The sequence below is a fragment of the Homo sapiens genome, chromosome 11 (genome assembly GCF_000001405.40).
Source record: "Homo sapiens chromosome 11, GRCh38.p14 Primary Assembly".
Taxonomy (NCBI): Eukaryota; Metazoa; Chordata; class Mammalia; order Primates; family Hominidae; genus Homo; species Homo sapiens.
In genome coordinates, this window is record NC_000011.10 from 55216590 (window position 1) to 55239589 (window position 23000).

The 23000-nt window shown below is 37.1% G+C and overlaps 1 annotated feature.

Moving 5' to 3' along the window:
- Positions 6035 to 6547: an enhancer, noted in NCBI's record as "OCT4-NANOG hESC enhancer chr11:54990100-54990612 (GRCh37/hg19 assembly coordinates)". NCBI's record gives its function as "activates a minimal SCP1, AML or CMV promoter by ChIP-STARR-seq in naive H9 embryonic stem cells {active_cell/tissue: H9 hESC(naive)}" and the evidence as "EXISTENCE:reporter gene assay evidence [ECO:0000049][PMID:30033119]".

Consider the following 23000-nt stretch of genomic DNA (forward strand, 5'->3'; position numbering starts at 1 on the left):
TTTATGTGAAGATATTTCCTTTCTCACCATAGGTCTCAATGTGCCCCCAAATATCCCTTTGCAGATTCTAGAAAAAGATTGTTGCAAACAGCTCAACAAAAAGAAAGGTCAACTCTGTGAAATGAATGTGTATATCACAAAGAAGTTTCTCAGAAAGCTTCTGCCCAGTTTTTATGAGAAGATATTTCCATTTTCACCATAGGCCTCAAACTGCTCAGAAATATCCCTTTGAAAATATTACAAAAAGACTGTTTCCAAACTACTCAATCAAAAGAAAATCTCAACTCTGTGAGATGAATACACTTATTACAAAGAAATTTCTCAGAAAGCTTCTGTCTAGTTTTTATGTGAAGATATTTCCTTTTTCACCATAGGCCTCAAAGCGCCCTCAAATTTCACTTTGCAGTTTCTACAAAAGACTGTTTCCAAACTGCTCAATCAAAAGAAATGTTCAACTCTGCAAGACGAATGCACACATCCCAAAAGAGCATCTCAGAAAATTTCTATGTAGCTTTTATGTGAAGATAATTCCTTTTTAAAAATAGGCCTCAATGTGCTCCCAAATAACCCATTGCAGATCCTAGAAAAAGAGTGTTTCCAAACTGCTCAATCAAAAGAAAGGTTCATCTCTGTGACATGAATGCACATATCACAAAGAAGTTTCTCAGGAAGCTTCCGTATAGTTTTAATGTGTAGATATATCCTTTTTCACCATAGGCCTCAAACTGCTCAGAAATACCCATTGCAGATTCTAGAAAAAGACCGTTTTGAAACTGCTCAATCAAAGGAAAGGTTCAACTCTGTGAAATGAATACACACATCACAAAGAAGTTTCTCAGAATGCTTCTGTCTAGTTCTTATGTGAAGATATTCCCTTTTTCAACATGGGCTTCAAAAGGATCCCAAATATCCCCTTTCAGATTCTAGAAAAAGACTGTTTCCAAACAGCTCAATCAAAAGAGAGGTTCAACTCTCTGAAATGAATGCACACATCAAAAGAAGTTCCTCCGAAAGCTTATGTTTATTTTTTACATGAAGATATTTCCTTCTTTTCACCTTAGGCCTCAAACCGCTCAGAAATATCACTTTGAAGTTTCTCAAAAAAACTGTTTCCAAACTGCTCAATCAAAAGAAAGGTTCAACTCTGTGAGATGAGTGCATGGATCACAACGAAGTTTCTCAGAAAGCTTCTGTCTAGTTTTTATGTGATGATATTTCCCTCTTCACCATAGGCCTCGAAGGGCTCCCAAATATCCTCTTGCAGATTCCACAAAAAGACTGTTTCCAAAATGCTCAATCAAAGGAAATTTCAACCCTGGGAGATAAATGCACTCATGACAAAGAAGTTTCTCAGAAAGCTTCTTTCTAGTTTTTATGTGAAGATATTTAATTTTCTACCATAGGCCTCAAAGCGCACTCAAATATCCCTTTGCAGTTTCTACCAAAAGACTGTTCCCAAACTGCTCAATCAAAAGGAAGTTTCAAGTCTGTGAGAGGAATGCACACATCATAAGATGTTTACAAGAAAGCTTCTGTCTAGTTTTTATGTGAACATATTTCCTTATTCACCATAAGACTCAAACCGCTGAGAAATATCCCTTTGCAGATTCTAGAAAAAGACTGTTTCCAAAATCCTTAATCAAAATAAAAGTTCAAATCTGTGAGGTGGATGCACACATCACAAAGAAGTTTCTCAGAAAGCTTCTGTCTAGTTTTTATATGAGGATATTTCCTTTTTCACTGCAGGCCTCAAACCATTCAGAAATATCCCTCTGCAGATTCCAGAAAAAGATGATTTCCAAACTGCTCAATCAAAAGAAAGGTTGAACTCTGTGAGATGAATGCACTCATTTAAAAGAAGTTTCTGAGGAAGCTTCTGTCTAGCTTTTATGTGAAGATATTTCCTTTTTTACCATAGGCCTCAAAGGGTTCCCAAGTACCCCTTGGCAGATTCTACAAAAAGTCTGTTTCCAAACTGCTTAATCAAAAGAATACTTTAACTCTGTGAGATGAATGCAGGCATCACAAAGAAGTTTCTCAGAAAGCCCTTATCTAGTTTTTAAGTGAAGATATTTCCTATTTCACCTTTGGCCTCCAAGCTCTCTCAAATATCACATTGCATATTTTACAAAAAGACTGTTTCCAAGCTGCTGAATCAAAAGAAAGTTTCAAATCTGTGAGATGAATACACCAATCACAAAGAGGTTTCTCAGAAATATTCTGTCTAGTTTTTATGTGAAGATATTTCTTTTTTCATCATATGCCTCAAAACACTCAGAAATATCCCTTTGCATATTCCAAAAAAAGGCTGTTTCCAAACTGCTCAGTCAGAAGAAAGGTTCAACTGTGTGAGATGAATGCACACATCACAAAAAGTTTCTCAGAAAGCTGTCAAGTTTTTATGTGAAGAGATTTCCTTTTTCACCTTAGGAATCAAAGGGATCCCAAATATCCCTTTGCAGATTTTACAAAAAGACTGTTTCCAAACTGATCAATCAAAAGAAAGGATCAATTCTGAGAGATGAATGCACACATCAGAAAAAGTTCCTGAGAAAACTTCTTTCTAGTTTTTATGTGAAGATATTCCCTTTTTCACCATAGACCTCAAAAGGCTCCCGAATATCCCTTTGCAGATTCTACAAAAAGACTGTTTCCAAGCTGCTCAATCCAAAGAAAATTTCCACTCTGTGAGATCAATGAACACATGACAAACAACTTTCTTAGAAAGATTCTGTCTAGTTTTTATTTGAAGATATTCCCTTTTTCATCATAGGCTTGAAACCACTCAGAAATATCCTTTTGCAGAATCTAAAAAAAGATGGTTTCCAAACTGCTCAATCAAAAGGAAGGTTTAACTCTGTGAGATGAATGCATTCATTACAAAGAAGTTTCTCAGAAATCTTCTGTCTAGTTTTTACATGAAGATATTTCCTTTTTCACCATAGGCCTCAAACCACTCAGAATTATCCCTTTGAAGATTCTTCAAAAAGACTGTTTCCAAACTTCAATTATAAGAAAGTTTCAACTCTCTGAGATGAATGCACACACCACAGAGAAGTTTCTCAGAATATTTCTGTCTAGTTTTTATGTGAAGATATTTCCTTTTTCACCTTAGGAATCAAAGGGATCCCAAATATCACTTTGCAGATGTTATAAAAAGACTGTTTCCACACTGATCAATCAAAAGGAAGACTTTCACCAGAGGCCTCAAAGTGCTCCCAATTATCCCTTTGCAGTTTCTACAAAATGAAAGTTTCCAAGCTGCTCAATCAGAAGAATGTATCAAATCTGTGAGATGAATGTGCACATCACAAACAAGATTCTTAGAAAGCTTCTGCCTAGTTTTTATGTGATGATATTCCCTTTTTCACCATAGACCTAAAACCATGCAGAAATATCCCTTTGTAGATTCTACAAAAGACTGTTTCCAAACTGCTGAGTCAAAAGAAAGTTTCAAATCTGTGATATGAATGCACACATCACAATGAAATTTCTCAGAAAGCTTCTGTCTAGTTTTTATGTGAAGATATTTTCTTTTTCACTATTGGCCTCAAAGGATGCCCAAATATCTCTTTGCAGATTTTACAAAGAGACTGTTTCCAAACTGCTCAATCAAAAGAAAGTTTCAACTCTGTCAGATGAATACAAGCATCACAACGAAGTTTCTCAGAAAGCTTCTGTCTAGTTTTTATGTGAAAATATTTCCTTTTTCACCATAGGCTTCAAAGGCCTCCCAAATATCCCTTTGCAGATTTGACAAGGAGACTGTTTCCAAACTGCTCAATCAAAAGGAAGGTTCAATTCTGTGAGATGAATGCACACATCACAAAGAAGTTTATCAGAAAGCTTCTGTCTAGTGTTTATGAGAAGACATTTACTTTTTCACCATAGGTCAAAAACCGCACAGAAATATCCCTTTGCAGTTTCCACAAAAAGACTGTTTCCAAACTGCTCAATCAAAAGAAAGGGTCAACTGTGCGTGTTGAATGTACATATCAAAAGGAAGTTTCTCAGAAAGCTTCTTTCTAGCTTTTATGTGAAGATATTTCCGTTTTCACCATAGGCCTCAAAGTTTTCCCACATATCCCTTTGCAGATCCTACAGAAAGACTGTTTCCAAACTGATTAATGAAAAGAAAGTTTCAACTCTGTGAGATGCATGCACACCTCACAAAAGAGTTTCTCAGGAAATTTCTGTCTAGTTTTTATACGAAGAAAATTCTTTTTCAAAATAGGCCTCAAAGGGCTCCCAATTATCTCTTTGCAGATTCTACAAAAAGAATGTTTCCAAACTGCTCAATCAAAAGAAAGTTTCAATTCTGTGAGATTAATGCACACATCACAAACAAGTTTCTCAGAAAGCTTCTGTATAGTTTTTATTTGAAGATATTCCATTTTTCACCATAAGCCTCAAACCACTCTGAAATATCCCTTTGCAGACTCTAGATGGCTCAATGAAAAGAAAGGTTGAACCCTGTGAGATGAATGCACTCATTACAAAGGAGTTTCTCAGGAAGCTTCTGTCTAGGGTTTATGTGAAGATATTTCCTTTTTCACCATAGGCCTCAAAGACTCCAAAATATCACTTTGCAGATTCTACAAAAAGGCTGTTTCCAAACTGCTCAATCAAAAGGAAGTTTTAACTCTGTGAGATGAATGCAGGCATCACAAAGAAGGTTCTTAGAAAGCCCCTATCTAGTTTTTAATTGAAGATATTTTCTTTTTCACCATTGGCCTCAAAGGTCTCTCAAATATCACTTTGCAGATTCTACAAAAAGACTCTTTCCAAGCTGTTCAATCAAAAGTAAGTTACTACTCTGTGAGATGAATGCACACATCACAAAGAAGTTCCTCAGAAAAGTTCTGTGCAGTTTTTATGTGAAGATATTTCCTTTTTCACCTTAGGAATCAAAGGGATCCCAAATATCACTTTGCAGATGTTATAAAAAGACTGTTTCCACACTGATCAATCAAAAGGAAGGTTCAATTCAGTGAGAAGAATCCCCACATAAGAAAGAAGTTCCTCAGAAAACTTCAGTCTACTTTTTATGTGAAGATATCATATTTTTCACCATAGGCCTTGAAGGCTCCCAAATATCCCTTTGCAGATTCTACAAAAGGACTGTTTCCAAGATGCTCAATCCAAAGAAAGTTTCCACTCTGAGAGATGAATAAAGATATGACAAACAAGTTTCTCAGAAAGCTTCTGTCTAGTTTTTATTGAAAGATATTACCTTTCTCACCATAGGCCTGAAACCAATCAGAAATATCCCTTTGTAGACCCTAAATAAGACTGTTTACAAGCTGCTCAATCAAAAGAAAGGACAGCTCTGTGAGATGAATGCCTTCATTACAAAGAATTTTCTCAGCAAGTTTCTGTCTAGTTTTTATGTGAAGATATGTCCTTTTTCACCATAGGCCTTAAACTGGTCAGAAATATTCCCTTAGACATTCTAGAAAAAGACTGTTTCCAAACTGCTCAATCAAATGAAAGGTTCAACTCTGTGAGATGAATGCACACATCACAAAGAAGTTTCTCAGAAAGCTTCTGTCTAGTTTTTATGTGAAGATATTCCCTTTTGAGCTATAGGCCTTTAAGCTCTACAAATATCCATTTGCAGATACTACAAAAAGAGTGTTTCCAAATTGCTCAATCAAAAGAAAGGTTCAATGCTGTGAGTTGAATGCACACATCACAAAGTAGTTTCTGAGAATGCTTCTGTCTAGTTTTTATGTGAAGATATTTCCTTTTTCAACATAGGCCTTAAACTGGTCACAAATATTCCTCTGCAGATACTACAAAATGACTGTTTCCAAGGTGCTCCGTCAAAATAAAGGTTCAACTCTGTGAGATGAGTGCACACATCACAAAGAAGTTTCTCAGAATGCTTCTGTCTAGTTTTTATGTGAAGATACTTCCTTTTACACCATAAGCCTCAAAGTGCTCCAAATATCCATTTGCAGATTATACAAAAAGGGTTTTCAAACTGCTCAATCAAAAGAAAGGTTCAACTGTGTGAGATGAATACACACATCACAAAGACGTTTCTCAGAATTCTTCTGTCTAGCTTTTATGTGAAGATAATTCCTTTTTCACCATAGGTGTAAAAACGCTCACAAATATCCCTCTGCAGATATCACAAAAAGACTGTTTCCAAACTGCTCCATCAAAAGAAAGATACAACTCTGTGAGATGAAAGCACACATCACAAACAAGTTTCTCAGAATGCTTCTGTCTAATTTTTATGGGAAGATATTTCCTTTTTCACCGTAGACCTCAAAACCTTCTGAATATCCACTTGCAGACACTACAAAAGACTGTTTCCAAACTGCTCAATCAAAATAAAGGTTCAACTCTGTGAGATGAAAGCACACATCACAAAGAAGTTTCTTAGAAAGCTTCTTTCTAGTTTTTAAGTGAAGATATTTCCTATTTCACCACAGGCCTCAAAGGGCTCACAAATATCCATTTGCAGATTCAACAGAAGGACTGTTTCTAAACTGTTCAATCAAAAGAAAGTTTCAACTCTGTGAGATGAATGCACACATTGCAAAGAAGTTTCTCAGAATGCTTCTTTCTAGTTTTTAAGTGAAGATATTTCCTTTTTCACCATAGGCTCCAAAGCATTCCAAATATCACTTTGCAGATTGTGCAATAAGACTGTTTCCAAAGCACTGAATCAAAAGAAAGTTTGAACTCTGTGAGATGAATGCACATATCACAAAGAAGTTTCTCAGAATGCTTCTGTCTAGTTTTTATGTTAACATATTCCCTTTTTCACCATAGGCCTTAAACAGCTCACTAGTATCCATTTGGAGATTCTACAAAAAGACTGTTTCCAAATTGCTCCACTAGAAGAAAGTTTCAACTCTGTGAGATGAATGCATGCATCACAAAGAAGTTTCTCAGAATGCTTCTGTCTACTTTTTATGTGAAGATATTTCCTTTTTCACGATAGGCTTCAAAACGCTCAAAATATCCATTTGCATATACTTCCAAAAGAGTGTTTCCAAACTGCTCAATCAAAAGGGAGGTTCAACTCTGTGAGATGAAAGCACACATCATAGAGCAGTTTCTCAGAAGGATTCTGTCTCGTTTTTATGTGATATTTCTGATTTAACAGTAGGCCACAAAGGGCTCAAAAATATTTCTTTGCAGATTCTACAAAAAGACTGTTTCCAGACTGCTCAATCAAAGAAAGGTTCAAATCTGTGAGATGAATTGACACATCACAAAGAAGTTTAAAAGAATTCTTCTGTCTATTTTCTATGTGAAGGTACTTCTTTTTCACCATAGGCCTCAAATGACTCGAAAATATCCCCTTGCAGACTGTGTAAAAAGACTGTTTCCAAACTGCTCTATCAAAAGTAAGGCTCAACTCTGTGAGATGAATGCACACATCACAAAGGAGTTTCTCAGAATGCTTCTGTCTAGTTTTTATGTGAATATATTTCCTTTTTCACCATAGACCTCAAAGCACTCCAAATATTCATTTGCAGATTCTTCAAAAAGCCCATTTCCAAACTGCTCATTCAAAAGAAACGTTCAACCCTGTGAGACTAATGCACACATCACAAAGTAGTTTCTCAGAAAGCTTCTTTCTAGTTCTTTTGTGAAGATATTTCCTTTTTTCACCATAGGCTGCAAAGCACAGCAAATATCCATTTGCAGATTCTACAAAAAGACTGTTTCCAAACTGCTCAATAAAAAGAAATGTTCAGTTCTGTGAGATGAATGGACACAACACAAAGAAGTTCCTCAGAATGCTTCTGTCTTGTTTTTATGTGAAGATACATCTTTTCCACTGTATGTCTCAAGAGGCTTGGAACTATCCCTTTGAAGATTGTACAAAATGCTGTTTCCAAACTTCTCAATCAAAAGAAATTTTCAACTCTGTGAGATGAATGAACACATCACAAAGAAGTTTCTCAGAAAGATTCTGCTTAGTTTTAATGTGAAGGTATTTCCTTTTCAACCATAGGCCTAAAATCACTCCAAAAATCCATTTGCATATTCTACAAAAAGAATGTTTCCAAACTGCTCAATCAAAAGAAAGTTTCAAGTCTGTGAGGTGAACGCACACCTCATGAAGAAGTTTCTCAGAATGTTTCTGTCTAGTTTTTCAGTTAAGATATTTCTTTTTTCACCATAGACATTAAACCACTCAGAAATATCCCTCTGCAGATACTACAAAAAAACTGTTTCCAAACTATTCTATCAAAAGAAAGGTTCAACACTGTAAGAAGAATGCACACATCACAAAGACGTTTCTCAGAATGCTTCTGTCTTCTTTTTATGTGAAGATATTTCCTTTTGCAACATAGGCCTCAATCACTCCAAATGTCATTTTGCAGATTCTTCCAAAAGACTGTTTCCAACCTGCTCAAGCAAAAGTGAGTTTCAACTCTGTGAGATGAATGGAAGCAACAGAAGGAAGTTTCTTAGAGTTCGTCTATCTAGTTTTTATATGAAGATACTTATTTTTCACCATAGGCTTCAAAGGACTCGGAAGTCTCCCTTTGCAGATTGCACAAAAAGACTGTTTCCAAACTGCTCTACCAAAAGAAAGATTCAACTCTGTGAGATGAGTGCACACATCACAAAGAAGTTTCTCAGAATGCTTCTGTGTAGTTTTTATGTGAAGGTACTTCCTTTTTCACCATAGACCTGAAAGCACTCCAAATAGCCATTTGCAGATATTACAAAAAGAGTGTTTCAAAACGGCTCAATCAAAAGAAAGTTTCAAGTCTGGGAGATGAATGCACACATCACAGAGAAGTTTCTCAGAATGTTCCTGTCTGGTTTTTATGTGAAGATATTTCCTTTTTCAACATAAGCCTTAAACTGGTCACAAATATTCCTCTGTGGATACCACAAAAAGACTGTTTCCAATGTGCTCCATGCAAAGAAAAGTTCAGCTTTGTGTGGTGAAGGCACACATCACAAAGAAGTTTCTCAGGATGCCTCTCTCTAGTTTTTATGTGAAGATACATCCTTTTTCACCACAAGCCTGAAAGCGCTCCAAATATCCATTTGCATATTCTACAAAAAGAGGGTTTCCAAACTGCTCAAACAAAAGAAAGATTCAACCATGTGAAATGAATTTACACATCACAAAGAAGTTTCTCAGAATTCTTCTGTCTAGTTTTATGTCAAGATAATTCCTTTTTCACCATAGGCTTTAAACAGCTCACAAATATCCTTCTGCAGATACTACAAAAAGACTGTTTCCAAACTGCTCCCTCAAAAGAAATGTAGAAAGGAAGGTGAGATGAAAGCACACATCATAAAGAAGTTTCTCAGAATGCTTCCATCTAGTTTTTATGTGAAGACGTTTCCTTTTCCACCATAGGCCTCAAAGCACGGAAAATATCCAGTTGCAGATTCTACAAAAAGAGTGTTTCAAAACTGCTCAATCAAAAGAAAGGTTCAAATCTGTGAGGTGAATGCACACATCACAAAGAAGTTTCTCAGAATGCTTCCATCTAGTTTTTAGGTGAATATATTTCCTTTTCCACCATAGGCTTCAAAGCGCTCCAAATATCCTCTTGCAGATTCTACAAAAAGAGTGTTTCAAAACTTCTCAATCAAAAGAAAGTTTCAACTCTGTGAGATGAAAGCATAAATCACAAAGAAGTTTCTCAGAAGGCTTCTGTCTAGTTTTCATGTGAAGATATTTCCTTTTGAAAATAGCCTGCAAAGCGTTCTAAATATCCATTTGCAGATACTATAAAAAGACTGTTTCCAAACTGCTCTATTGAAAGTTCAACTCTGTGAGATGAATGCAGACATAACAAAGAAGTTGCTGAGAATGCTTCTGTCTAGTTTTTATGTGAAGATATTTCCTTAACCACCACAGGCAACCAAGCACTACAAACATCCACTTGCAGATTCTACAAAAAGAGTGTTTCAAAACTGGTCAATCAATAGAAATGTTCAACTCTGTGAGTTGAAAGCAAGCATCACAGAGAAGTTTCTCATTAAGCTTCTGTCTAGTGTTTATGGGAAGATATTTTCTTTTATGCCATAGCCCAATAAGTGCCCCAAATAACCACATGCAGACACTACAAAAAGAGTGTTTCAAAACTGCTCAATCCAAAGAAAGATTGTACTCTATGAGATGAGTGCAGACATCACAAAGAAGTTTCCGAGAATGCTTCTCTCTAGTTTTTATGTGAAGATATTTCATTTTCCACCATAGCCCACCAAGCACTACAAATATCCACTTGCAGATTCTACAAAAAGAGTGTTTCAAAACTGCTCAATCAATAGAAATGTTCAACTCTGCGAGTTGAATGCACACATCACAGAGAAGTTTCTCATAATGCATCTCTCTAGTGTTTATGTGAAGATATGTATTTTTCCACCACAGCCCACTAAGTGCCTCAAATACCCACTTGCAGATTCTACAAAAAGTGTGTTTCAAAACTGCCCAATCCAAAGAAAGATTCAACTCTATGAAATGAATGCAGGCATCAAAAAGAAGTTTCTCAGAAGGCTTCTGTCTAGTTTTTATGAGAAGATATTCCCTTTTCCACAATAGGCCTCAAAGTGCTCCAAATATCCTCTTGCAGATTCTACAAAAAGAGTGGTTCAAAACTTCTCAATCAAAAGAAATGTTCAACTCTGTGAGATGAATGCACACATCACAAAGCAGTTTCTCAGAATGCTTCTGTCTAGTTTTCATGTGAAGATATTTACTTTTCAAAATAGGCCACAAAGCACTCCAAATATCCATTTGCAGATACTACAAAAGACTGTTTCCAAACTGCTCTATCAAAAGTTCAACTCTGTGAGACGAATGCAGAAATCACAAAGAAGTTTCTCAGAAGGCTTCTGTCTAGTTGTTATGTGAAGATATTTCATTTTCCATCATAGGCCACCAAGCACTACAAATATCAACTAGCAGCTTCTACAAAAAGAGTGTTTTAAAACTGCTCAATCAATAAAAAGGTTCAACTCTGTGAGTTGAATGCACACATCACAGAGAAGTTTCTCATAATGCTTCTGTCTAGTGTTTACATGAGGATAATGTTTTTCTGCCACAGCCCACTAAGCGCATTAAATACCCACGTGCAGATTCTACAAAAAGAGTGTTTCAAAACTGCTCAATCTAAAGAAAGATTGAACTCTAAGAGATGAATGCAGACATCAAAAATAAGTTTCTCAGAAGGCTTCTGTCTAGTTTTCATGTGAAGATAATTCATTTTCCATCATAGTCCACCAAGCACCACTAATACCCACTTGGAGATTCTACAAAAGGAGTGTTTCAAAACTGCTCAATCCAAAGAAACATTCAACTCTATGAGACAAATGCACGCATCACAAAGAAGTTTCTCAGAATGCTTCTGTCTAGTTTTTGTGTGAAGATATTCCCTTTTCCACCATAGGCCTCAAAGCGCTCCAAATATCCTCTTGCAGATTCTACAAAAAGACTGTTTCAAAACTTCTCAGTCAAAAGAAAGGTGAAACTCTGTTAGTTGAATGGACACATCACAAAGCAGTTTCTCCTAATGCTTCTGTCTAGTTTTCATTTCAAGATATGTCCTTTTCAAAATAGGCCTCAAAGCACTCCAAATATCCATTTGCAGATACTACAAAAATACTGTTTCCAAACTGGTCTATCAAAAGTTCAACTCTGTGAGATGAATGCTGACATCACAAAGAAGATTCTGAGAATGCTTCTGTCTAGTTTTTATGTGAAGATATTTCATTTTCCACCATAGGACACCAAGCACTACAAATATCCACTTGCAGATTCTACAAAAAGAGTGTTTCAAAACTGCTCAATCAATAGAAAGGTTCATCTCTGTGAGTTGAATGCACACATCACAGAGAAGTTTCTCATAATGCTTCAGTCTAGTGTTTACGTGAAGATATTTTTTTCCTCCATAGTCCACTAAGCGCCCACAATACCCACTTGCAGATTCTACAAAAACAGTGTTCCAAAACTGCTTAATCCAAAGAAAGATTCAACATTATGAGATTAATGCAGACATCTCAAAGAAGTTTCTCAGAAGGTTTCTGTCTAGTTTTTATGTGAAGATATTTTATTTTCCAAAATAGGCATTCAAGCACTACAAATATCCACTTGCAGATTCTACAAAAAGAGGGTTTCAAAACTGCTCAATCAATAGAAAGTTTCATCTCTGTGAGTTGAATGCACACATCACAGAGAAGTTTCTCATAATGCTTCTGTCTAGTGTTTACGTGAAGATATTTTTTTCCTCCATAGCCCACTAAGCGCCCACAATACCCACTTGCAGATTCTACAAAAACAGTGTTCCAAAACTGCTCAATCCAAAAGAAAGATTCAACTTTATGAGATTAATGCAGACATCTCAAATAAGTTTCTCAGAAGGTTTCTGTCTAGTTTTTATGTGAAGATATTTTATTTTCCAAAATAGGCAATCAAGCACTACAAATATCCACTTGCAGATTCTACAAAAAGAGGGTTTCAAAACTGCTCAATCAATAGAAAGTTTCATCTCTGTGAGATGAATGCACACATCACAGAGAAGTTTCTCATAATGCTTCTGTCTAGTGTTTATGTGAAGATATTTTTTTTTCTGCCATAGCCCACTAAGCGCCCAAAATACCCACTTGCCGATTCTACAAAAAGAGTGTTTCAAAACTGCTCAATACACAGAAAGATTGAACTCTGTGAGATGAATGCAGACATCACAAAGAAGTTTCTCAGAAGGCTTCTGTCTAGTTTTATGTGAAGATATTTCATTTTCCACCATAGGCCACCAAACACTACAAATATCTACTTGCAGATTCTACATGAAGAGTATTTCAAAACTGCTCAATCAACAGAAAAGTTCAACTCTGTGAGTTGAATGCAAACATCACAGAGAAGTTATTCATAATGCTTCTGTATAGTATTTATGTGAAGATATTTTTTTCCACCATAGCCCACTAAACGCCCCAAATACCCACTTGCAGATACTACAAAAAGAGTGTTTCAAAACTGCTCAATCCAAAGAAAAATTCAACTCTATGAGAATGCATGCATCACAAAGAAGTATCTCAGAATGCTTCTGTCTAGTTTTTATGTGAAGATATTCCCTTTTCCACCATAGGCCTCAAAGCACTCCAAATATCCTCTTGCAGAATCTACAAAAAGAGTGTTTCAAAACTTCTCAATCAAAACAAAGTTTAAACTCTTTTATTTGAATGCAGACATCACAAAGCAATTTCTCAGAATGCTTCCGTCTAGTTTTCATTTGAAGATATGACCTTTTCAAAATAGGCCTCAAAACACTCCAAATATCCATTTGCAGATACTACAAAAAGACTGTTTCCAAACTGCTCTATCAAAAGTTCAACTCTGTGAGATGAATGCAGATATCACAAAGAAGTTTCTGAGAATGATTCAGTCTAGTTTTTATGAGAAGATATTTCATTTTCCACCATAGGCAACCAAGAACTACAAATATCCACTTGCATTTTCTGCAAAAAGAGTGTTTCAAAACTGCTCAATCAATAGGAAGGTTCAACTCTGTGAGTTGAATGCACACATCACAGAGAATTTTCTCATATAATGCTTCTATCTAGTGTTTATGTGAAGATATTTTCTTTTCTGCCATAGCCCACTAAGCACCCCAAATACCCACGTGCAGATTCTACAAAAAGAGTGCTTCAAAACTGCTCAATCCAGAGAAAGATTCAACTCTATGAGATGAATGCAGACATCACAAACAGGTTTCTCAGAAGGCTTCTGTCTAGTTTTTATGTGAAGATATTTCATTTTCCACCATAGGCCACCAACCACTACAAATATCCACTTGCAGATTCTCCAAAAAGAGTGTTTCAAAACTACTCAATCAATAGAAAGGTTCAACTCTGTTAGTTGAAAGCACACATCACAGAAAAGTTTCTCATAATGCTTCTGTCTAGTGTTTATGTGAAGATATATTTTTTCTGCCATAGCCCACTAAACGCCCCAAATACCCACTTGCAGATTCTACAAAAAGAGTGTTTCAAAACTGCTCAATCAAAAGAAAGATTCAACTCTATGAGATGAATGCACACATCACAAAGAAGTATCTCAGAATGCTTCTGTCTAGTTTTTATGCGAAGATATTCCCTTTTCCACCATAGGCCTCAAAACACTCTAAGTATCCTCTTGCAGATTCTACAAAAAGACTGTTTCAAAACTTCCCAATCAAAAGAAAGGTTAAACTCTGTTAGTTGAATGCACACATCACAAAACAGTTTCTCAGAATGCTTCTGTCTAGTTTTCGTTTCAAGATATGTCCTTTTCAAAATAGGCCTCAAAGCACTCCAAATATCCATTTGCAGATACTACAAAAAGACTGTTTCCAAACTGCTCTATCAAAAGATCAACTCTGTGAGATGAATGCAGGCATCACAAAGAAGTTTCTGAGAATGCTTCTGTCTAGTTTTTATGTGAAGATATTTCCTTTTCCACAGTAGGCCTCAAAGCACTCCAAATACCCACTTGCAGATTCTTCAATAAGAGTGTTTCAAAACTACTCAATCATAAGATAATTTCAGCCCTGTGAGAAGAATGCACACATCACTAAGAAGCTTCTCAGAATGCTTCTGTGTAGTTTTTATTTCAAGATATTTCCTTTTCCACCATGGGCTGCAAAGGACTCCAAAGATCCACTTGCAGATTCTACAAAAAGAGAGATTCAAAACTGTTCAGTCAAAAGATATGTTCAACTCTGTGTGTTGAAAGCACACCACACAAAGAGGTTTCTCAGAACGCTTCTGTGTAGTTTTTATGTGAAGATATTTCCTTTTCCACCATGGGCCCCAAAGCACTCCAAATATCCACTTGCAGATTCTACAGAAACAGTGTTTCGAAGCTGCTCAATGAAAGGACATGATCAACTCTGTGAGATGAATGCACACATCACAAAGAAGTTACTCAGAATTCTACTGTGTAGTTTTTATGGGAAGATATTTCTTTTTCCACAATAGGCTACAAAGCGGTACAAATATCTTCTTGTAGATTCTAAAATAAGAGTGTTTCCAAACTGCTCAATCAAAAGATAGGTTCAATTCTGTGAGTTGAATTTACACATCACAGAGAAGTTTCTCAGAATTTCTTCTGTGTTGTTTTTATGTGAAGATATTTCCTGATCCACAATATACATCAAAGCTCTTCAAGTATCCACTTGCAGATTCTGCAAAAGAGAGATGCAAAACTGCTCAATCAAAAGATAGGTTCGATGGTGTGCATTGAATGCACACATCACAAAGAAGTTTCTCAGAATGCTTATGTGTAGTTTTTATGTGAAGATATTTTCTTTTCCACATTAGGCCTCAAAGCACTCCCAATCTCCACTTGCAGACTCTGTGAAAAGAGAGATTGAAAACTGATCAATCAAAATGTAGCTTCAACTCTGTAAGTTGAATGCTCACATAGCAAAGAAGTTTCTCAGAATACTTTTGAGTAATTTTTATGTGAAGATATTTCCTTTTCCAAAATTGGCCTCAAACCCCTCCAAATATCCACTTCCAGATTTTATAAAAAGAGTTTCAAAACTGCTCAATGAAAAGAGAGATTCAAATCTGTGTGATGAATGCACTCATCACAAAGGAGTTTCTCTGATTGCCTCTGTGCAGTTTTTATTTGATGAAATTTCCTTTTCCACCATAGGGTGCAAAGGGCTCGAAATATCTACTTTCAGATTCTACAAAAACAGAGATTCAAAACTGCTCAATAAAAGAAAGGTTCAACTCTGTTAGTTGAATGCACACATCACAAAGAGGTTTCTCAGAATGCTTCTGCCTAGTTTTCATCTGAAGATACTTCCTTTTCCAAAAGAGGATGCAAGCGCTCTAAATATCCACTTGCAGATTCTACAAAAAGAGTGTTTCCAAACTCCTCAATCAAAGCAAAGATTCCATTCTGTGAGTTGAATGTACACATCACAAAGAAGTTTCTGAGAATGCTTCTGTCTAGTTTTTATGTGAAGATACTTCCTTTTCAGCTATAGGACTCAAAGCACTCCAAATATTCTTTTACAGAAACTACAAAAAGAGTGTTTCCAAACTACTCAATCAAAGCTTCAGCTCTCTGTGTTGAATGCACACATCAGAAAGTAGTTTCTGAGAATGCTTCTGTCTAGTTTTTGTGTGAAGATATTTCCTTTTCAGCTATAGGCCTCAAAGCACTCCAAATATCCATTTGCAGATACTACAAAAAGAGTGTTTGAAGCTGCTCAATCAAAAGAAATCTTCAACTCTGTGTGATGAATGCACACATTACCACAAAGGTTCTGAGAATGCTTCCATCTAGTTTTTATGCAAAGATATTTCCTTTTCAACTATAGGCCTCAAAGCACTCCCAAATATCCACTTGCAGATACTACAAAAAGTGTGTTTCCAAACTGCTCAATCAAAAGAAAGGTGCAACTCTGTGAGTTGAATGCACACATCACAAAGAAGTTTCTGAGAATGCTTCTGTCTAGTTTTTGTATGAAGATATTTCCTTTTCCACCTTAGGCCTCAAAGCACTCCAAATATCCACTTGCGGATTCTACAGAAAGTTTGTTTCAAAACAGCTCAATGAAAATAAAAGTTCAACTATGTGAGATGAATGCACACATCACAAAGTAGTTTCTCAAACACTTCTGTCTAGTTTTTATATGAAGATTTTTTCCTTTTCAGCTATAGGCCTCTAAGGGTTCAAAATATACATTTGAAGATACATACTATAAAGAGTATTTCCCTACAGCTCCATCAAAAGAATGGTTCAACTCCGTTAGTTAAATGCACACCTCACAAAGAAGTTTCTGAGAATGCTTCTGTCTAGTTTTTATGTGAAGATATTTCCTTTTCAGCTATAGGCCTCAAAGCACTCCAAATATCCATTTGCAGACACTACAAAAAGAGTGTTTCAAAACTGCTCAGTCAAAAGAAATCTTCAACTCCGTGGGATGAATGCACACATTACCAGGAAGGTTCTGAGAATGCTTCCATCTAGTTTTTATGTGAAGATATTTCCTTTTCTGCTACAAGCCAAAAAGCACTCCAAATAACCATTTGTAGATACTACAAAAAGAGTGTTTCCAAACTGCTCAATCAAAAAAAAGGTTCAACTCTGTTACTTGAATGCACGAATCCCAAGAAACTTCTGAGAATGCTTCTGTCTAGTTTTTATGTGAAGATATTTTCTTTTCCACCATAGCCCTCAAAGCGCTCCAAATATCCACTTGCAGATTCTACAAAAAGAGTGTTTCAAAACTGCTCAGTCAAAAGAAAGTTTCAACTCTGTGAGATGAATGCAAACATCACAAAGAACATTCTCAGAATGCTTCTGTCTAGTTTTTATGTGAAGATATTTCCTTTTCAGTTGTAGGCCTCAAAGCACTTCAAATATCCATTTGCAGTTACCACAAAAAGAGTGTTTCCAAACTGATCAATCAAAAGAAAGGTTCACCACTGTGAGTTGAATGCACACATCACAAAGAAGTTTCTGATAATGCTTCTGTCCGGTTTTGATGTGAAGATATTTCCTTTTCTACCATAAGCCAGAAAGTGCTCCAAATATCCATTTGCAGATTCTACAAAAAGAGTGGTCCCAAAGTGCCCAATCAAAAGAAAGGTACAACTCTGTGAGATGAATGCACACATCACAAAGAAGTTTCTCAGAATGCTTCTGTCTAGTTTTTATGTGAAGATACATCCCTTTCCACCATAGGCCTCATAACACTCCAAATATCCATTTGCAGGTACTATAAAAAGAGTATTTCCATTTGAACTTTAAAGTGGTTTTTCCAATTCTGTGAAGAAAGTCATTGGTAGCTTGATGGGGACGACATTGAATGTGTAAATTACCTTGGGCAGTATGGCCATTTTCATGATATTGATTCTTCCTACCCATGAGCATGGAATGTTCTTCCATTTGTTTGTATCCTCTTTTATTTCATTGAGCAGTGGTTTGTAGTTCTCCTTGAAGAGGTCCTTCACATCGCTTGTAAGTTGAATTACTAGGTATTTTATTCTCTTTAAAGCTATTGTGAATGGGAGTACACTAATTATTTGGCTCTCTGTTTGTCTGTTATTGGTGTGTTAGAATGCTTCTGATTTTTGTACATTGATTTTGTATCCTGAGACTTTGCTGAAGCTGCTTATCAGCTTAAGGAGATTTGGGGCTGAGACAATGGGGTTTTCTAGATATACAATCATGTCGTCTGCAAACAGGGACAATTTGACTTCCTCTTTTCCTAGTTGAATAAACTTTATTTCCTTCTGCTGCCTAATTTCCCTTGCCAGAACTTCCAACACTATGTCGAATAGAAGTGGTGAGAGAGGGCATCCCTGTCTTGTGCCAATTTTCACAGGAAACGCTTCCAGTTTTTGTCCATTCAGTTTGATATTGGCTGTGGGTTTGTCATAGATAGCTCTTATTATTTTGAGATACGTCCCATTGATACCTAATTTATTGAGAGTTTTTTGCATGAAGGATGGTTGAATTTTGTCTAAGGTCTTTTCTGTATCTATTGAGATAATCATGTGGTTTTTGTCTTTGGTTCTGTTTATATGCTGGATTACATTTATTGATTTGCATATATTAAACCAGGCTTGCTCCCCAGGGATGAAGTCCACTTGATCATGATGGATAAGCTTTTTGACGTGCTGCTGGATTCTGTTTGCTAGTATTTTATTGAGGATTTTTGCATCAATGTTCATCAAGGATATTGGTCTAAAATTCTCTTTTTTGGTTATGTCTCTGCCCGTCTTTGGTATCAGGATGATGCTGGTCTCATAAAATGTGTTAGAGAGGATTCTTTCTTTTTTTATTGATTGGAATAGTTTCAGAAGGAATGGTACCAGTTCCTCCTTGTACCTCTGGGAGAATTCGGCTGTGAATCCATCTGGTCCTGGACTCTTTTTGGTAGGTAATCTATTGATTATTGCCACAATTTTAGAGCCTGTTACTGGTCTATTCAGAGATTTAACTTCTTTCTGGTTTAGTCTTGGGAGGGTGTATGTGTAGGAATTTATCCATTTCTTCTAGATTTTCCAGTTTATTTGTGAAGAGGTGTTTGTAGTATTCTCTGATGGTAGTTTGTATTTTTGTGGGACCAGTGGTGATATCCCCTTTATTATTTTTTATTGCGTCTATTTGATTTTTCTTCCTTTTTTTCTTTATTAGTCTTGCTAGTGGTCTGTCAATTTTGTTGATCTTTTCACGAAACCAGCTCCTGGATTCATTAAGTTTTTGAAGAGTTTTTTGTGTCTCTATTTCCTTCAGTTCTGCTCTGATGTTAGTTATTTCTTGCCTTCTGCTAGCTTTTGAACGTGTTTGCTCTTGCTTTTCTAGTTCTATTAATTGTGATGTTAGGGTGTCAATTTTGGATGTTTCCTGCTTTCTCTTGTGAGCATTTAGTGTTACAAATTTTACGCTACACACTGCTTTGAATGTGTCCCAGAGATTCTGGTATGTTGTGTCTTCGTTTTCATTGGTTTCAAAGAACATCTTTGTTTCTGCCTTCATTTCGTTATGTACCCAGTAGTCATTCAGGAGCAGGTTGTTCAGTTTTCATGTATTTGAGCGGTTTTGAGTGAGTTTCTTAATCCTGAGTTCTAGTTTGATTGCACTGTGGTCTGAGAGACAGTTTGTTATAATTTCTGTTATTTTGCATTTGCTGAGGTATGCTTTACTTCCAACTATGTGGTAGATTTTGGAATAGGTGTGGTGTGGTGCTGAAAAAAATGTATATTCTGTTGATTTGAGGTGGAGAGTTCTGTAGATGTCTATTAGGTCCGCTTGGTGCAGAGCTGAGTTCAATTCCTGGGTATCTTTGTTAACTTTCTGTCTCATTGATCTGTCTAATGTTGACAGTGGGGTGTTAAAGTCTCCCATTATTATTTTGTGGGAGTCTAAGTCTCTTTATAGGTCACTCAGGACTTGCTTTATGAATCTGGGTGCTCCTGTATTGGGTGCATATAAATTTAGGATAGTTAGCTCTTCTTGTTGAATTGATTCCTTTACCATTATGTCATGGCCTTCTTTGTCTCTTTTGATCTTTGTTGGTTTAAAGTCTGATTATTCAGAGACTAGGATTGCAACCTCTGCCTTTTTTTGTTTTCCATTTTCTTGGTAGATCTTCCTCCATCCTTTTATTTTGAGTCTATGTGTGTCTCTGCCCATGAGATGGGTTTCCTGAATACAGCACACTGATGGGTCTTGACTCTTTATCCAATTTGCCAGTCTTTGTCTTCTAATTGGAGCATTTAGTGCATTTACATTTAAAGTTAATATTGTTATGTGTAAATTTAATCCTGTCATTATTATTTTAGCTGGTCATTTTGCTCGTTAATTGATGAACTTTCTTCCTAGCCTAGATGGTCTTTACAATTTGGCAGGATTTTGCAGTGGCTGCTACCAGTTGTTCCTTTCCATGTTTAGTGCTTCCTTCAGGAGCTCTTTTAGGGCAGGCCTGGTGGTGACAAAATATCTCAGCCTTTGCTTGTCTGTAAAGGATTTTATTTCTCCTTCACTTATGAAGCTTAGTTTGGCTGGATATGAAATTCTGGGTTGAAAATTCTTTCCTTTAAGAATGTTGAATATTGGCCCCCACTCTCTTCTGGCTATTAGAGTTTCTGCCAAGATCCGCTGTTAGTCTGATGGGCTTCCCTTTGTGGGTAACCCGACCTTTCTCTCTGGCTACACTTAACATTTTTTCCTTCATTTCAACTTTGGTGAATGTGACAATTATGTGTCTTGGAGTTGCCCTTCTTGAGTAGTATCTTTGTGGTGTTCTCTGTATTTCCTGAATGTGAATGTTGGCCTGCCTTTCTAGATTGGGGAAGTTCTCCTGGATAATATCCTGCAGAGTGTTTTCCAACTTGGTTCCATTCTCCCCGTCACTTTCAGGTACACCAATCAGATGCAGATTTGGTCTTTTCACATAGTCCCATATTTCTTGGAGGCTTTGTTCATATGTTTTTATTCTTTGTTCTCTAAACTTCCCTTCTCACTTCATTTCATTCATTTCTTCTTCCATCACTGATACCCTTTCTTCCAGTTGATCGCATCATCTCCTGTGGCTTCTGCATTTTTCATGTAGTTCTCGAGCCTTGGCTTTCAGCTCCATCGGCTTCTTTAAGCACTTCTCTGTATTGGTTATTCTAGATATACATTCATCTGAATTGTTTTCAAAGTTTTTAACTTCTTTGCCTTTGGTTTGAATGTTCTCTTGTAGCTCGGAGTAATTTGATCGTCTGAAGGCTTCTTCTCTCAACTCGTCAAAGTCATTCTCCATTCAGCTTTGTTCCATTGCTGGTGAGGAACTGCATTCCTTTGGAGGAGGAGAGGCACTCTGCTTTATAGAGTTTCCAGTTTTTCTGCTCTGTTTTTACCCCATCTTTGTGGTTTTATCTACTTTTGGTCTTTGATGATGGTGATGTACAGATGGGTTTTTGGTGTGGATGTCCTTTCTGTTTGTTAGTTTTCCTTCTAACAGTCAGGACCCTCAGCTGCAGGTCTGTTGGAGTTTGCTAGAGGTCCACTCCAGACCCTGTTTGCCTGGGTATCAGCAGCAGTGGCTGCAGAACAACAGATTTTCATGAACCACAAATTCTGTTGTGTGATCACTCCTCTGGAAGTTTTGTCTCAGAGGATTACCCGGCCATGTGAGGTGTCAGTCTTGCCCCTACTGAGAGGTGCCTCCCAGTTAGGCTGCTCGGAGGTCAGGGGTCAGGGACCCACTTGAGGAGGCAGTCTGCTCGTTCTCAGATCTCCAGCTGTTTGCTGGGAGAACCACTGCTCCCTTAAAAGCTGTCAGAAAGGGACATTTAAGCCTGCAGAGGTTACTGTTGTCTTTTTGTTTGTCTGTACCCTGCCCCCAGAGATGGAGCCTACAGAGGCAGGCAGGCCTCCTTGAGCTGTGGCAGGCTCCACCAAGTTCGAGCTTCCTGGCTGCTTTGTTTGCTTAAGCAAGCCTGGTCAATGGCGGGTACCCATCCCCCAGCCTCAATGCCACGGTGTAGTTTGATCTCAGACTGCTGTGTTAGCAATCAGCGAGACTCCATGGGCATAGGACCCTCTGAGCCATGTGTGGGATATAATCTCCTGGTGTGCCATTTTGTAACCCCATCGGAAATGTGCAGGATTAGTGTGGGAGTGACCCAATTTTCCAGGTGCCGTCTGTCACCCGTTTCTTTGACTAGGAAAGGGAACTGCCTGACACCATGTGCTTCCCGAGTGAGGCAATGTTTCACCTTGCTTTGGCTCCCACAAGGTGCACTGCACCCACTGTCCTGCGCACACTGTCTGGCGTTCCCTAGTTGGATGAACCCAGTAACTCAGAAGGAAAGGCAGAAATCAGCCGTCTTGTACATCGCTCACACTGGGAGCTGTAGAACGGAGCTGTACCTATTCAGCCATCTTGGCTGCCAGGTCCTGATTTCCTGAAATTTTCTTTTGATTGAGCAGCTTTGAAACACTCTTTGTAGTATCTGCAAATGGATATTTGGAACACTTCAAGGACTATAGTTGAAAAGGAAATATCTTCACATAAAAACTAGACAGAAGCATTCTGAGAGACCTCTTTTTGATGTGTGTATTCATCTCACAGAGTTGAACCTTTCTTTTGATTGAACAGTTTTGAAACGTTCTTTTTGTAGAATCTGCAAGTGGATAATTGGAAAGCTTTGAGGCCTATGGTGGAAAACGAAACATCTTCACATAAAAACTAGACAGAAGCATTCTCAGAAACTACTTTGTGATGTGTGTGTTATACTCACAGAGTTGAAACTTTCTTTTGATTGACTAGTTTGGAAACAATATTTTTGTAGTATCGGTAGGCAATTGGGAGCACTTTGATGCCTACAGCTGGAAAAGGAAATGTCTAAACATAAATACTAGACAGAAGCATTCTGAGAAACTTCTTTGTGATGTGTGCCTTCATTTCACAGAGTTGAACCTTTCTTTTGTTTGAGCTGTTTTGAAACACTCTTTTTGTAGAATCTGAAAGTGGATATTTGGAACGCTTTGAGGCCTATGGTGG